Below are 14,740 nucleotides of genomic sequence, written 5' to 3'. Positions count from 1 at the left end.
GGGAGGCGGAGGTTGCAGTGAGCCGAGATTGCGCCATTGCACTCTAGCCTGGGCAACAAGAGCGAAACTCAGTCTCCAAAAAAAAAAAAAAAAAGAACCAAAGCAGAGAGATAAGATTCTCATGATATTCAGGTAGATAGAAAGACAAAACATTATTTTTAATAAATGAAAGCAGACCCAGAGTTACTATTATAAATGTATATACATAGAACATGGAATGAGAACACTGATTGTTTCCATTGTTTTGTCTCTGTTTTTCAAACACCAGCAAAAGAAGCAGTATTTGAAACTAATCTTAGCTGCATAAGGAACTGCCATGGCATTTGAGTTCATTAATCTTCATGTGATATGCCAGTTGTTCAGTTCCTGAGTTAAATTAGGAAATGAACACATATTTATGACTATAGCGCATCTTCTTTCTGGTTTCCTGGATATTTGCAGGCAACTCAGAAAATTGACTCAAGCGCTGATTAATTCCGGCTGTCCAGGTACACCTGGTAACAGTTAACTGAGAAGTCACAGCCACTAATGCTGAGGTCTTTAAGAGTAAGGAAAAAGCATGGATTTCACTATATATTAAAAATATGGAAAGGTAAAAGGATAAAGTAGACATAACACAGTTGCTCAGATACCTCCCATTTGTTTTAAGCTTCTTGAAGGCAGGAATCCTCTCATTTCTTTGAATGCTACCACTTCGTCTAACATGGAACAGGTTCTCAATAAACAGTTAAAGTAATTTGAAGGATGAGTCATGGCTTTAGTATATTTTGTGAAATTATTTTGTCTTGAAAGTAACAGTGAATAATCATTCATTTTTGAAAACCAAGAAAGGAAAAAAGAAACTAAGAAAGTATACCAAAGTGTTCTGCTATTTATTGTTTTATGTTAATAAAACTCAAATTACTTTTACAGGATTTACATTTAATATTAGGTTGACATCAAAGGCCAAAAAGCTTCTTCTATAACACTAAAGAGCCTATATTTTTTAAAATAAGGGTTTTTTTTTTTAAATCAAAGTAGTGAGTGCTACCACCACCATTTGAGAAATAGAGAAAAGAATAAAGAAATATCTGAAACTTTTGGCCAGGCATGGTGGCTCATGCCTGTAATCCCAGCACTTAGGGAGGCCAAGGCAGGCAGATCATGCGGTCAGGAGTTTGAGACCAGCCTGGCCAACATGGAGAAAGCCTGTCTCTACTAAAAATACAAAAATTAGCTGGGCGTGGTGGCAGGTGCCCGTAATCCCAGCTACTCAGGAGGCTGAGGCAGGAGAATCGCTTGAATCCAGGAGGCGGAGGTTGCAGTGAGCCAAGATCGTGCCATTGCACTCCAGCCTGGGTGACAAGAACAAGACTCCGTCTCAAAAAAAAAAAAAAATCTTTGAAACTCTTAATAGCTACAAAAATATACAGATTGTGCATCTCTCCATAAGATACATTCACCAAACTTCAGCTCAAAGCTGTAAGATCTTCTGTCAAACTTGTGTGGAAGTACAAAAGTTATAACTGAGTAACAGTTTTTACCCAGTTGCTTTTGGCAGACAATATCATTTTAGTGGCATATGAAAAAATAATCACTTGGCCAGACACAGTGGCTCACACCTGTAATCCTAGCATTTTGGGAGGCCGAGGCAGGCAGATCGCTTGAGTCTAGGAGTCAGAGACCAGCCTAGGCAACAGAGCAAAAACCCATCTCCATGAAAAATACAAAAATTAGCCAGGTGTGGTGGCGCACGCCTGTGGTCCCAGCTATCAGGAGGCTGAGGTGGGAGGATCACTTGAGCCCAAGAGGCAGGGGTTGCAGTGAGCCAAGATGGCGCCACTGCACTCCAGCCTGGGCAACAGAATGAGACCCTGTCTCAACTGAAAAAAAAAAAAAAAAAGGAAAATAATTACTTAACAATCCTAGATACAATTTATTATTATTATTATTATTTTAAGACATGATAACTTCTGACTGCGCAAAGGCTCTTTTGGAACCTTGCTTTTCAGAGATTGGCTTTTCTTTTAAGTAAATGTGACGAAGAAGAGGCCTTATCAACATTTGCCATCTGTTAAGTACTTTTCAGTTACCACCACAAGAACAATGGGACTGTTGGTCTTTTCACTTTTAGGGGACAGAGAATCCTGCTAAGGAAATCATTATTTTGCCTCTGATTGGTGTCATGGAGTTTTTTAATTTTTTGAGACGGAGTCTTGCTCTGTCACCCAGGCTGAAGTGCGGTGGCGTGATCTCGGCTCACTGCAACCTCTGCCTCCCAGGTTCAAGCGATTTTCCCACCTCAGCCTCCCAAGCAGCTGGAATGATAGGTGGGCACCACCTCGCCTGGCTAATTTTTTTTTAATATTTTTAGTAGAGACAGCGTTCACCATGTTGGCCAGGCTGGTCTGGAACTCCTGACCTCAAGTGATATGCCTTCCTTGGCTTCCCAAAGTGCTGGGATCACAGGCATGAGCCACCGTGCCTGGCCTGGTGTCATTGAGTTTTCCTCAACTAATTTCTCATCCCTTTGTTTGCTAGCATTTTGTAACATTTAAATATATTCATATGACAGAATGACCAACACATCAGAATAAATATCCACTGACTACATCTCAGGCAGTACTCTTGTTTTTATATTGACAACACTGCATCCACCACCACTTCGGAATCTTCTGCCCAAACTTAGTCACTCACATGTGCTCTAGATCCTGGGTGTGAGTGTATTTATACAGACCATCCCCAGCATTATACTGGTGTCTTTTTTCCCATTATTTTTTCTCTGTTCTTTATAAACATTTATATTATATCACTGAAAAAGATATCCAGGCCAGGCGTGGTGGCTCACGCTTGTAATCCCAGCACTTTGGAAGGCAGAGGTGGGTGGATCACTTGAGCTGAGGAGTTCAAGACCAGCCTGGGCAACATGGTGAAACCCGTCTCTACCAAAAGTACAAAAATTGGCCAGGCGCAGTGGCTCACACTTGTAATCCCAGCACTTTGGGAGGCTGAGGCAGGGGGATCACAAGGTCAAGAGATCGAGACCACCCTGGCCAACATGGTGAAACCCTGTTCTACTAAAAATACAAAAAATTAGCTGGGCGTGGTGGTGCCTGTAGTCCCAGCTACTCAGGAGGCTGAGGCAGTAGAATCACTTGAACCCAGGAGGTGGAGGTTGCAGTGAGCTGAGATCACGCCACTGCACTCCAGCCTAGTGACAGAGTGAGACTCCGTCTCAAAACAAACAAACAAAAAATACAAAAATTAGCTGGGCATTATGGCAGACACCTGTAATCCCAGCTACTTGGGAGGCTGAGGCAGAAGAATCGCTTGAACCTGGGAGGCAGAGGTTGCAGTGAGCTGAGATTGTGCCATCTCACTCCAGCCTGGGCAACAAGAGGGAAACTCCATATCAAAAAAAAAAAGATATTCAAACCATTTGTTCAAACCCAATCTGCAAATATTGTTCATACATTAGATTGAGTACATATAGAGAGACGTTGAAGCTATTAATTGTGTCACATCCTCAAAGACAGTCCCTCTTTTGGACTCTTACATTCTGCTTTGTTTTCTGTCCTTAGCTAATTTTTTTATATGGCTACATTTTCAACATTGTGAGCACGTTTTAAGAAATATGCAGCCTGGAGTTCAATAGGTATTCTTCCTCCCGGATAAAATTATTCATCAATATTAGTTTTATATATAATACAAATATCTTTATAAGTATACAAATAAATGTGTGTGTATGTGTACAGATGGATAGATAGATGCAGTATGCTAAAAGTATTTATGTTTTTTTTTTTTCTCTTTTCCCAAAGTAGCAACTTAGATAACAGAGTTAGATCCAGGTGTGTCCTGGTGTCCTTCTAGGCTGAGCCCCTAAGACTTGGTGTGAATGGTTTGCTGCTTTCCTCCATACTTAATTTTCCTCTTTGTTTTCATAGATAAATATCATTCAGGGAATTGTGGCAGAAATCAACACCAAGACTGGTGAATCTGAATGCCGCTATTATAAAGAGCGGCTTCTTTACTTGGAAGAAGGCCAGAAAGACTCCCTGATCGACAGCTCTCGAGTCTTGTGTTGTCATGGTGAACTGAAGAACAATCGGGGCGTGGTAAGTAGTTACTCCCTTTAAGCAGTCTTATCCGCCTCCCGTATCCCTAATTCATTTGGTGTGGAGCCTCCTCTTAGAATTTCTTCCCTATCTAGGGTCATGTTCTTTTTTGAGATGGAGTCTCGCTTTGTCACCCAGGCTGGCTCACTGCAACCTCTGCCTTCCCGGTTCAAGCAATTCTTGTGCCTCGGCCTCCCAAGTAGCTGGAACTGCAGGCACGCACCACCATGCCCAGCTAATTTTTGTATTTTTTTAGTAGAGACAGGGTTTCACCACGTTGGCCAGGGTGGTCTCAAACTCCTGAGCTCAAGTGATCCGCCTGCCTTATCCTCTGAAAGTGCTGGAATTACAGGCTTGAGCCACCGTGCCTGTCCTTCGTTCTTTCAAACAAAAATTGCTTTTCCAGTGTCATTTATATCACAGGATCATATGTGTATATGTATATATATATTCATTCATATTTTGTAATGTTAAGGATCAGTACCTATTCAGAAAGAATTTTGGAAACCAACATAGGGTTGCCAGCTATTTATTTTGTCTGATCTTGGCTTTGAGAAACAAATGCAGAACAGTTAACATCTGTCACTTTGATTTCAGAAAATAAAGGATGATCTTAATAAGATATTAGAAGGATTTAATCTCAGAGAAACAGCTCTTCAGTTGAATGCATTTAACTTCTTTCTTGTGCATTGGGACCCATCCACAGACTGGCATTTTGAAACCAATTTTTTAAAAATAACAACCTATCTTCTATTGGTTGCATATTTAGCTTTGACCTATAGATACCCATTTCCTGGCTTTTATTCCCATGTAGATACTGAAATGGTTCCTCTTCTGCTATCATAGCAACTGTGTATATCTCCCTTGGAGCACTTAATATAGTGATTTGCAATTCTCCATTTGTCTGTCAGTATATTCCATTATACCATGTTGTTTTGGTGGTTTGTCAACCTTAGAACCTATTATGGGGACCTGGCACATACTGGGTACTCAATGAATGAATGCTTGTTTAAAAGGAAAGATGAATTTGAATTATATGAGAGTTCAAAATTCATTCAGCTCACCAAGCTATTTGTATGTATAGCCAGTAGAAATTTGTGTGTGTGTGTGTGTGTGTGTGTGTGTGTGTGTGTGTTTAAATTTCTGTGTTGAGATAGCCATTGGGAGAGAGACTCTGCATTTTGATTGTATTTCATCTTCAGTATCTAGCCAACCCTTAGAATGAAAGCTAGAACTAGATTGAAGGGTTCTTAATAAAGTTTTGATAATTCAAGGGACATCCGTTTAGTCTAGACTGAGCAGCCATGGAAATATTACTTGAAATTAGTGAGTACATGTTATAACCCATTATCAGGGATGCTGTGGATCCATCCAGTGGATGGTACAGTGGGAGTAATGAGACCTGTCAAGTCTGTTGCTTGAAGACGTGTGTCTGTGGGACTAGAGAGTTACTGATTGCTAGAAAGCTGCATTCTGTTTCTTGCTTATTTTCAGAAAGCACCTGTGGACTTCTAGTATCTTACACCAAGCTCCTTGAACGTTCTTTCTAGGAAGCCCAATGAGAAATAGGAAAATGCAGTGCTCCACAGGGTGTAAGCCTATTATCTTTCTGTACATCAGTGAAGGACTGAGAACTTTTTGGTTAGATGTGCCTAAGGCATAAAGATAAACTCTAGTTTTTATTGCAGGCAGATAGATTTTTGAGAACAAAGATAGTTGGGGTGGGAGGCTTGTGGGTTTTTTTTTCACCCGGTAGAGTTGTAAACGTCATTGTGAATAAAGTCTTGGGTCAGAAAAAAAGCACAGTAGTTGAAGGCAGGAAGGAGCTGAGACCAATAAGAGAAATTATCAGTGAACATTCATAAATGAGTTTTTTGTTTGTTTGTTTGTTTGTTTGTTTTTTGAGACAGTCTCACTCTGTTGCCCAGGCTGGAGTGCAGTGGCACGATCTTGGCTCACTGCAACCTCCACCTCCAGGGTTCAAGCAATTCTCCTGCCTCAGCTTCCCGAGTAGCTGGGATTACAGGCACCCAACACCACGCTTGGCTAATTTTTGCATTTTTAGTAGAGATGGGGTTTCACCATGTTGGCCAGGCTGTTCTTGAATTCCTGACCTCAAGTGATCCGTCCACCTCGGCCTCCCAAAGTGCTGGGATTACAGGAGTGAGCCACCGTGCCTGGCTGAGTTGTATTTTTAAAAGGTTGCCCAGACAATCTCAGCCCACCTTGGCTAGAAGATTGATTGAAGTAGAAACAGTGTAAAAATCTGATTATTCCAAATACTGTACATTAAAACAGCCCCCAAAAGAAAATTCTTAACACGTTATTTCCACAACTACCACACCAAAAAGCCTTTAACTTGGTTATTTTGTGCTTTATCCTGTTTTTCAGTCTTCTTAAATATACATTTTATTCCCTCTAGCCAAGATTTGGTTGGGTTTTGTTTCTGTTTGTGTGTGTTTGGGAGGTAGTAGGGATAGGGGTGGGAGACCTATGGGTTTCTTTTCTCCTAAATTTAAAATGATCTAATAATATTGAATGTGCTCCCACTATCCCAAGTCAAAATTCTAATCTGAAGTTTTTAATTCAGTTCCCATTTTTGTTTTAGATGCAGGGGGTATATGTGCAGGTTTGTTACAAGGATATACTGCATGGTGCTGAGAATAGGCTTCTATTGATCTCATCACCCAGATAGTGAACATAGTAACATAGTACTCGATAGGAAGTTTTTCAGCCCTTGCCCCTCTCACTCCCTCTTGCCTTTTAGAGTCCCCAGTGTCTGTTGTTCCTATCTTTATGCCCATGTGAACCCAAGATTTAGCTCCCACTTACAAGTGACAACCTCTCCTCTTCTGGTCTCTCCCCTTTAAGACTGCTGGATTGACATTCCCAAATATTTCCACCAGAAAGCTAGAACCTAGTTGCAAAGTTGTGGATATTTTCACTTCAGTTCGTAAGCATTTCCAAAGTGTGAGAAGAGTCTGGCACTTAGCATTGAATGGAGCAAATATACCCCAGCTCCACCAAGCACACCTGCTTTCATAATGGGACCTGAAACAAGCCTTCATTTTTGCAATTTTCTTTTTGCCAACATCACACACATCAGTCGTCAACTTTTTAACCCTCTTCAGAGAACCAAGGTTCTGATTAACTTAGAAGGAAAATATTGATCATCTTTTTTTTTTTTTTTTTTTTTTTTTGAGACAGAATTTTGCTTTTGTCGCCCAGACTGGAGTGCAATGGCCCGATCTCAGCTCACTGCAACCTCCACCTCCTGGGTTCAAGCAGTTCTTCTGCCTCAGCCTCCTGAGTAGCTGGGATTATAGGCGCCTGCCACCGCGCCTCGCTAATTTTTGTATTTTTAGTAGAGATGGGGTTTCACCATGTTGGCCAGGCTGGTCTTGAACTCCTGACCTCAGGTGATCCGCCCACCTCGGCCTCCCAAAGTGCTGGGATTCCAGGCGTGAGCCACTGTGCCCAGCCTGATCATCTTTCTTTGTGGCTGTGGCAGCATACTCTGGTCCCCTCAGGAATGAGCACTGTTCTGACTTAGAGTTCCTGAATAAAGCTGATAATGACTTTGTGGTTGAAGGAACAAGTGTTTTTCATGGGTTTGGGAAGCAAAGATTAATATTAGCTTTGATATACCAGTCTCATTTTTTATAGACTATTGTTAATTTTGATCTTTTAGAATTTTTTTCTTTTTTTTTTTAAACAGTCTTGCTCTGTCACCCAGGCTGAAGTGCAGTGGTATGATCTGGGCTCACTGCAACCTCTGCCTCCTGGGTTCGAATGATTCTCCTGCCTCAGCCTCCTGAGTAGCTGGGATTACAGGCGCCCCCCCCCCCCCCCCGCCCCGCCCACCTCGCCTGGCTAGTTTTTGTATTTTTTTTTTTTTTTTTTAGATGGAGTCTCACACTGTCGCCCAGACTGGAGTGCAGTGGCACGACCTCAGCTCACTGCAAGCTCCACTTCCTGGGTTCATGTCATTCTCCTGCCTCAGGCTCCCAAGTAGCTGGGACTACAGGTGCCCGCCACCACACCCGGCTAATTTTTTGTATTTTTAGTAGAGACAGGGTTTCACTGTGTTAGCCAGGATGGTCTGTATCTCCTGACCTGGTGATCCGCCCGCCTCAGCCTCCCAAAGTGCTGGGATTACAGGCGTGAGTCACTGCATCCGGCCTAGTTTTTGTATTTTTAATAGAGACGGGGTTTCACCATGTTGGCCAGCCTAGTCTTGAACTCCTAACCTCAAGTGATCCGCCCACTTCAGCCTCCCAAAGTGCTAGAATTACAGGTGTGAGCCACCACATCCGGCCTGATTACTTAGAATTATATTGAGTAATATAAACTAAAGTCAAGAGAGTGCTAACTTTTTTTTCCCTTCATCACCTTCTTGATTCTATTTCCCTTTCTCGTTTTTTTCTTATAGGAGCTGGGGCAGGTATGTCTGTACAAGTTGTGAATTGCAATGTGAATAGGGCCCCCAAAGTTGGCAACCCTGGCTGTAGGTGTCTGTAGGCAGAAGGGCTTTCTCCATTGAGTCCCTAGGGAGGTGCTTCTACAGGAAGGGCAGTGGACATATCTGGAAGTGCCTCCAACATGCCCAACTTTGGTTCTCCTGGAGGTAGATTTGAACCTAGGAGTTCATAATCCAGTGTGAACCTGGTACCTGGGGACCTCTTTATCCACAGAGGTCCACATATCAACCACTCATTACATTATTGCTTAATGAAAGCTTGTGGATTTTTTTCTTCTAGAAACTGCATGTTTTCCTGTTCCAAGAAGTGCTTGTGATCACTCGAGCCGTCACCCACAATGAGCAGCTTTGCTACCAGCTGTACCGTCAGCCAATCCCCGTGAAAGACCTCCTGCTGGAAGACCTCCAGGATGGAGAAGTGAGGCTGGGTGGCTCCCTGCGAGGGGCATTCAGCAACAATGAGAGAAGTATGGATAGCAGTCGGGGTTGACCTGTTGAATGTTTTTGGCCGTGGTAGTTTGGAGGGAGTGGGCAGCTGGTGGAAAGAGAAAAGCCACGGTCTTGAAGTCAAACTGCATTTGTATGCTATTTCATCACTTCCTGATTATGTACTTTGTTTAGTCCCTGTGATTCTCAGTTTCTCATCTCCAAAATGGAAATGCATAGGTACCTCCTTCATAAGATTGTTATAAGGATTTAGTAAGATAATCTAAGTGAAACTGTCTGCACATAGTTAGTGCTCCTTAAGTTCCCTTTCTCTGTCTTTTTCCATTGGATAAAAACATGCTTAATACCAGATAGTCCCTACATGGATGCCAGTTGCGTTATGGTGGGTTTTGCAGCTGAACTGGTAAACTTGTCCCTAAAGAGACATAAGAATGGTCAACTGGAATGTGGATTCATCTGTAACATTACTCAGTGGGCCTAATTTAAGACTTAATAAACAAATTAACTAAAAGAAGCCAAGATAGCAATATCTATCGAGTATCTAACATGATACTCGGTGAAACAAGCAGGTAACTTCCTTCCCCTATGGAGCTTGCATTGTGATGGAGGAGAAAGATGATAAACAAATGAATACTCCAGGTGTTGTTAAGAAAACTTAAAACCCGGTAAGGGAATAGGAAGGGATAGCAATAGGAGGTCTGTTTTATTTTTATTTATTTATTTTTTTGAGACAGAGTCTTCCTCTGTTACCCAGGCTGGTGTGTGGTGGCGTGATCTCGGCTCACTGCACTCTCTGCCTCCTGGGTTCAAGCAATTCTCGTGTCTCAACCTTCCAAGTAACTGGGAGTACAGGGGCTGGCCACCACACCTGGCTAATTTTTGTATTTTCAGTAGAGACAAGGTTTTGCCATGTTGGCCAGGCTGGTCTGGAACTCCTGACCCCAAGTAATCCACCCACCTCAGCCTCCCAAAGTGCTGGGATTACAGGCCCCCGGGCCCAGCCTGGAGGTCTGTTTTAAATGAGATAGGGAACACTTCTCTGAGAAAGTAACGTTTGAGCTTCCTGGGTTAACATAGGCATCATACTGTCAAAGTAATTAACATGTACTGCCTTCTCCCTACTGATCAATCCCTCTACCCTAGGAGTAGGAGTAGTAGAAATAAGAGCTTATGTTTCTTGAGTACTGACTATGTGCCAGGCATTGTATAAGCATTTACATGTATTACATTTATTCCTCATAACAACCATATAAAGTAGGTTCTTGTTTTCTCCATTTTACAAGTTAGAAACTAAGATACAGAGGATTTAAGGTACTTGCCCAAGATCAAAGGGTGGAGCCTAAATTTGAAGGACGGAGAATAGCTTCTAGCCAAAGATGGCTAGCAGTAAAACATTTTGGCCTCCTTTCCCTCTGTTGCTTAGCCTCTAAGCCATTGGAAGTGGTGGTGGTTCCCAGTCTACTGGCTGCAGGGTTAGTGCAAAGGGACTGACTGCAGATGCTTCTGTGAACCAAGCATTGCATGTGGCACGCAGGGCCCTTTAAATGTCCATTATATTGTTGTTATTAGATTAAATAGGCCAGGCACGGTGGCTCACGCCTATAGTCCCATCTTTTTGGGAGGCTGAGGTGGGTGGATCACCTGAGGTCAGGAGTTCGAGACCAGCCTAGCCAACATGGCAAAACCCTGTCTCTACTAAAAAAAATACAAAAATCAGCCAGGCATGGTGGTGCATGCCTGTAATCCCAGCTACTCAGGAGGCTGAGACAGGAGAATTGCTTGAACCCAGGAGGCAGAGGTTGCAGTGAGCGGAGATTGTGTCACTGCACTCCAGAGCAAGACTCTGTCTCAAAAAAAAAAAAAAAAAAAGATTAAATAAAATGTCTTCCATATTGTGGACTACCATTTTTTTTTAAATGCAGATGGCTCCTGTTGAGGTAATTAAAATGTAATTTCGTTTGACAATGAAACCAAATTTGTCTACATATATCTTCTCCATCATTGGATACTAAGTGTATAGATACTCTCATATGGAGAAACATGGGCATGTTTTAATGTTAAAAAGAGCCTCTTAAACTGAAAAAAGCTCCAGCTTGGTGTACTTGTTGAAATTACAGATTATGAAACGACTTTTAGATCTTCTGAATCAGAATCTCTAAAAAAGGGCCTGGGGATTTATTTTTATTGATTTATTTTTATTTTTTGAGAAAAGGCGTCACTATATTGCTCAGGCTGATCTCAAAATCCTAGACTCAAGCAGTGCTCCCACTTCAGCCTCTGAGCGCATCTGTCTTTTTAACAAGCTCTCACCCCAAGGGATTTTGTTATGCAGCCAGATTGGGTCACCAGTACTCTGGGCTCCCCTAAATCACTTGACTTTGTGGTTCCAAGATGATCTCCACCTGCGGGTTTCTGAGAGCGACGAGGGCAGCTGAACGCTAGACCTGTGTCAATCCCATCTCCCTGATGGTGGCTGCAGGGTGGAGCTGAGCCATGCCCCAGATCAGTGGGAAACGTTTTGTTATCAGCAATACCTGCCATGGATTCTGGGGTTTAGTGTCACTACGTGTGTTCTCTTTGGCCTGAGGAAGGATCTGTCCATTGACTTTGTTTTTCATGTGTTTTTCCTTTCTAGTTAAAAACTTCTTCAGAGTCAGTTTCAAAAATGGATCCCAAAGTCAGACCCACTCGCTACAAGCCAATGACACTTTCAACAAACAGCAGTGGCTTAACTGTATTCGTCAAGCCAAAGAAACAGTTTTGTGTGCTGCCGGGCAAGCTGGGGTGCTTGACTCCGAGGGATCGTTCCTAAATCCCACCACCGGGAGCAGAGAGCTACAGGGAGAAACAAAACTTGAGCAGATGGACCAATCGGACAGTGAGTCAGACTGTAGTATGGACACGAGTGAGGTCAGCCTCGACTGTGAGCGCATGGAACAGACAGACTCTTCCTGTGGAAACAGCAGGCACGGTGAAAGTAACGTCTGACAGAAGCATGTGCACTTCGGGAAGCAGGCCTGCATCTTACCTGTACAGTATTTGCATTCCACAGATGGAACGGTTTGGAGAAGCACTTTTTCATACTTTTGTGAAAGTATACATGTTGGCCCAGTCTCTCGTATCTGTACCTTTGTCCCTAGTACTGTAACTGCCAATCTGTCTGTGTAAGCTGGAATCTGTGGCAACTATTACCCTGTGTTGTATTTCCCAAGTGTCTGGATGGATGGAGAGGTACTCAAACAAGTTACTTTCAGTTGTCCTGCTGGATTTTAAAAAAATAGAAAAAGAATCTCAAAACTACTGTTTTACATAGATTGTTTGAAGAGTCCTTCCTCTTGTGCTTCTGTACCACTTTCCCAGCTCTTAGATGTGGTAGCTAAAGGCACGGAATTTAGACGGCCTTGTAAATAGGGCATGAGGAACTCATCTGTGTATTGGGATGGTATTAGAGAGAGAATCAGGAAAGACCAACTCATGAAGTGAACTTGGTTTGATCTTACTCAACTAGAAAGCTTGAAAACATCCCTGGGGATTCTGAAGGCTTAATTTTGCAAAGGAGGATGCATTGTCTGAACTTTGCAACTTCATCCAGTGCAAGTTTGATGCAAGAATGTATTAGGACATAAAATAGAGGCTGACCTTAAAAGGGCCAGGACAGAAGCGGCTGCCAGCTCTGAATCTTTAACTGAAATGCACATGGCACCAGGAGGTGTCTCTCATAGTTGGTTGCTAGCCTAAAACATCAGAATAGAACCCAAAGGGCTTAGGAAGGCCTGCCAGGATAACAAGAAGGCCCTGTATTCATTGTGTTTCATCTGCCTAGGCCTACTCATTATTTTAGAGAATGAATGAAGCAACAAGGAAGAGAGACCATGACTCTATCGATGACACTGTTTATAGAAACACAGGAGAGGAAGAATTTGGAATGAAAAGCACTTCGTCAGAACCTTCTGTGGGAGCCATTGAGAGAAAAGCATGGTCCAGTGCCTTCTGAGAAAGGCCAGAGCTTTGGGCTTTCCTGCTCTGCTTTTGGGTCGTCAATTTGCCATCTCTGGTTCTGTGCTATAATCAGAATTGTAATTATGTTCTCCAGAGGCCAATTTCATTAACTCTGATTAATTAGAATCAGCTAGCCAGATTAGTAACCTCTTTGTCCAGCCTTGATTTACAGTGCAGGGTAAAGTGCAGACCTTAAAAACAGCTAAGTACCTAGAAGAGCTCCCTGCAAGTGTAAATATTAAGGATGACCTGTGCAAAATTATACCCACACCAGCACTAGTGGTAATTATTCTAAATTATTGCCAAAAAGTTTTTTTTAATCTGTCTTTCAAGTTTACAGAAAAGAAAGCAGTAAATGCATTGATGTCATTTTATTATGTACATATATCATGTGCATTCAAGCTGTGTGACAAGATATATCAATATAAAAACAAGGTATATACTTTATTATTTTTTGAAAACAAGGATATTGTGATCAATTTTACCCTGTAAAACATATTTCTGTATTTATAGGTCTTAAACATGATGAATTTTTTCTATTACAAGTTTATTTAAAACTGCTTTCTCAAGTCGTTATTGATACAGCAAGTGAACCTGCTGCAGACAGAAGCAGAGGAAAGCCAAGAACAGCCTTTATTGGTGAAGAAAAGAATGAATGATTCTTTGTAGGCGCCATCAGCCACTTTTAGAAGCCATCAGCCAGTGTGTTGGGAAAAGAGGTTTGTCAAGTGTTGGCCTATGGGAAGGTGGTCAATGAATGTTTTGATGAAATGAATGTTTTTGTATAATGGCCTTAAACTTTTCTGGAAGTATTTCAAATAAATTACATTATTAAGTCATCCTCCATGTGTACAGTGTTTGTCCTACAAACAAAATACAGGTTTCAGCTGTGTTCCTGGGGAGGTTCTTTCTGAAATTTTTGTTTGTGGTTCCTGAATACAAACTTTAAAATAGGATGCAGATTGATACAAATGCTTTTATTTGATCTATCAAAACTTTCACAGAACTCATTTTTTTTTTCTTTCTTTCTTTTGAAACAGGATCTCACTCTGTCACCCAGGCTGGAGTGTGGTGGTGTGATCATAGCTCACTGCAGCCTCAAATTCCTGGGCTTATGCAATCCTCCTGCCTCAGCCTCCCAAGTAACTGGGATTACAGGTACACACCACCACATCTGGCTAATTTTTAAATTTTTTGTAAAGATTGAAGTTTCACTATGCTGCCTAGGCTGGTCCTGAACTCCTGGCCTCAAGTGATCCTTCTGCCACAACCTCCTAAAGTGTTGGGATTACAGGCGTAAGCCTCTGAGTCTGTCCAAGAACTCATAATTCTAAAATCTGTTTTCTCAAGCATTCTCTATTCATTCACTTATTTATGTGTTCACTTTTAATAACTCTATCTGGAATCCATACTATGTATAAAGTCAAGTGGTAAGTCATAGTTGTTATAGAAAAGAAATGTTGAATCTCACTGCTAATATAGGTAACTGTTGAGGAACTTGAGGCTAAATAAAAGAAGGCAAATTTCACTTTGAAATTCTTACTGGAATTTCAGTCTACTTTAATTAAAATGATTAGTACTCTTTCTAGTCTGAGCACAGTGGCTATACCTCTAATCCTAGCAGTTTGGGAGGCCAAGGCAGGTGAATTACTTGAGCCCAGGAGTTCAAGACCAGCCTAGGCAACATGGCAAAACCTCATCTCTACAAAAGCACAAAAAT

The 14,740-nt window shown here is 41.9% G+C and overlaps 1 protein-coding gene across 21 annotated transcripts in view; it reads left to right on the top strand.

Moving 5' to 3' along the window:
- ARHGEF3 (Rho guanine nucleotide exchange factor 3) overlaps positions 1 to 13,859 on the top strand; it is a 351,849-nt gene extending 337,990 nt beyond the window's left edge. For 15 of the 21 annotated variants that reach the window (NM_001377411.1, NM_001377410.1, NM_001128615.2 and 12 more), the window contains 3 exons: positions 3,924 to 4,094; positions 8,855 to 9,041; positions 11,657 to 13,859. In NM_001377411.1, the coding sequence (NP_001364340.1) occupies positions 3,924 to 4,094; positions 8,855 to 9,041; positions 11,657 to 12,009 (711 nt within the window). In that variant the 3' untranslated portion in view covers positions 12,010 to 13,859. Of the gene's footprint in view, positions 1 to 3,923; positions 4,095 to 8,854; positions 9,687 to 11,656 lie in introns of those variants that run through there. The other 6 variants (XM_017006503.2, XM_047448226.1, XM_047448227.1 and 3 more) reach the window with 2 other exon arrangements.
- Positions 13,860 to 14,740: the final 881 nt, after the last annotated feature.

The sequence above is a fragment of the Homo sapiens genome, chromosome 3 (assembly GCF_000001405.40).
Source record: "Homo sapiens chromosome 3, GRCh38.p14 Primary Assembly".
NCBI lineage: Eukaryota > Metazoa > Chordata > Mammalia > Primates > Hominidae > Homo > Homo sapiens.
Note: the sequence above shows the minus strand (reverse complement) of the source record. Positions and strands in the feature narration are given on the sequence as shown.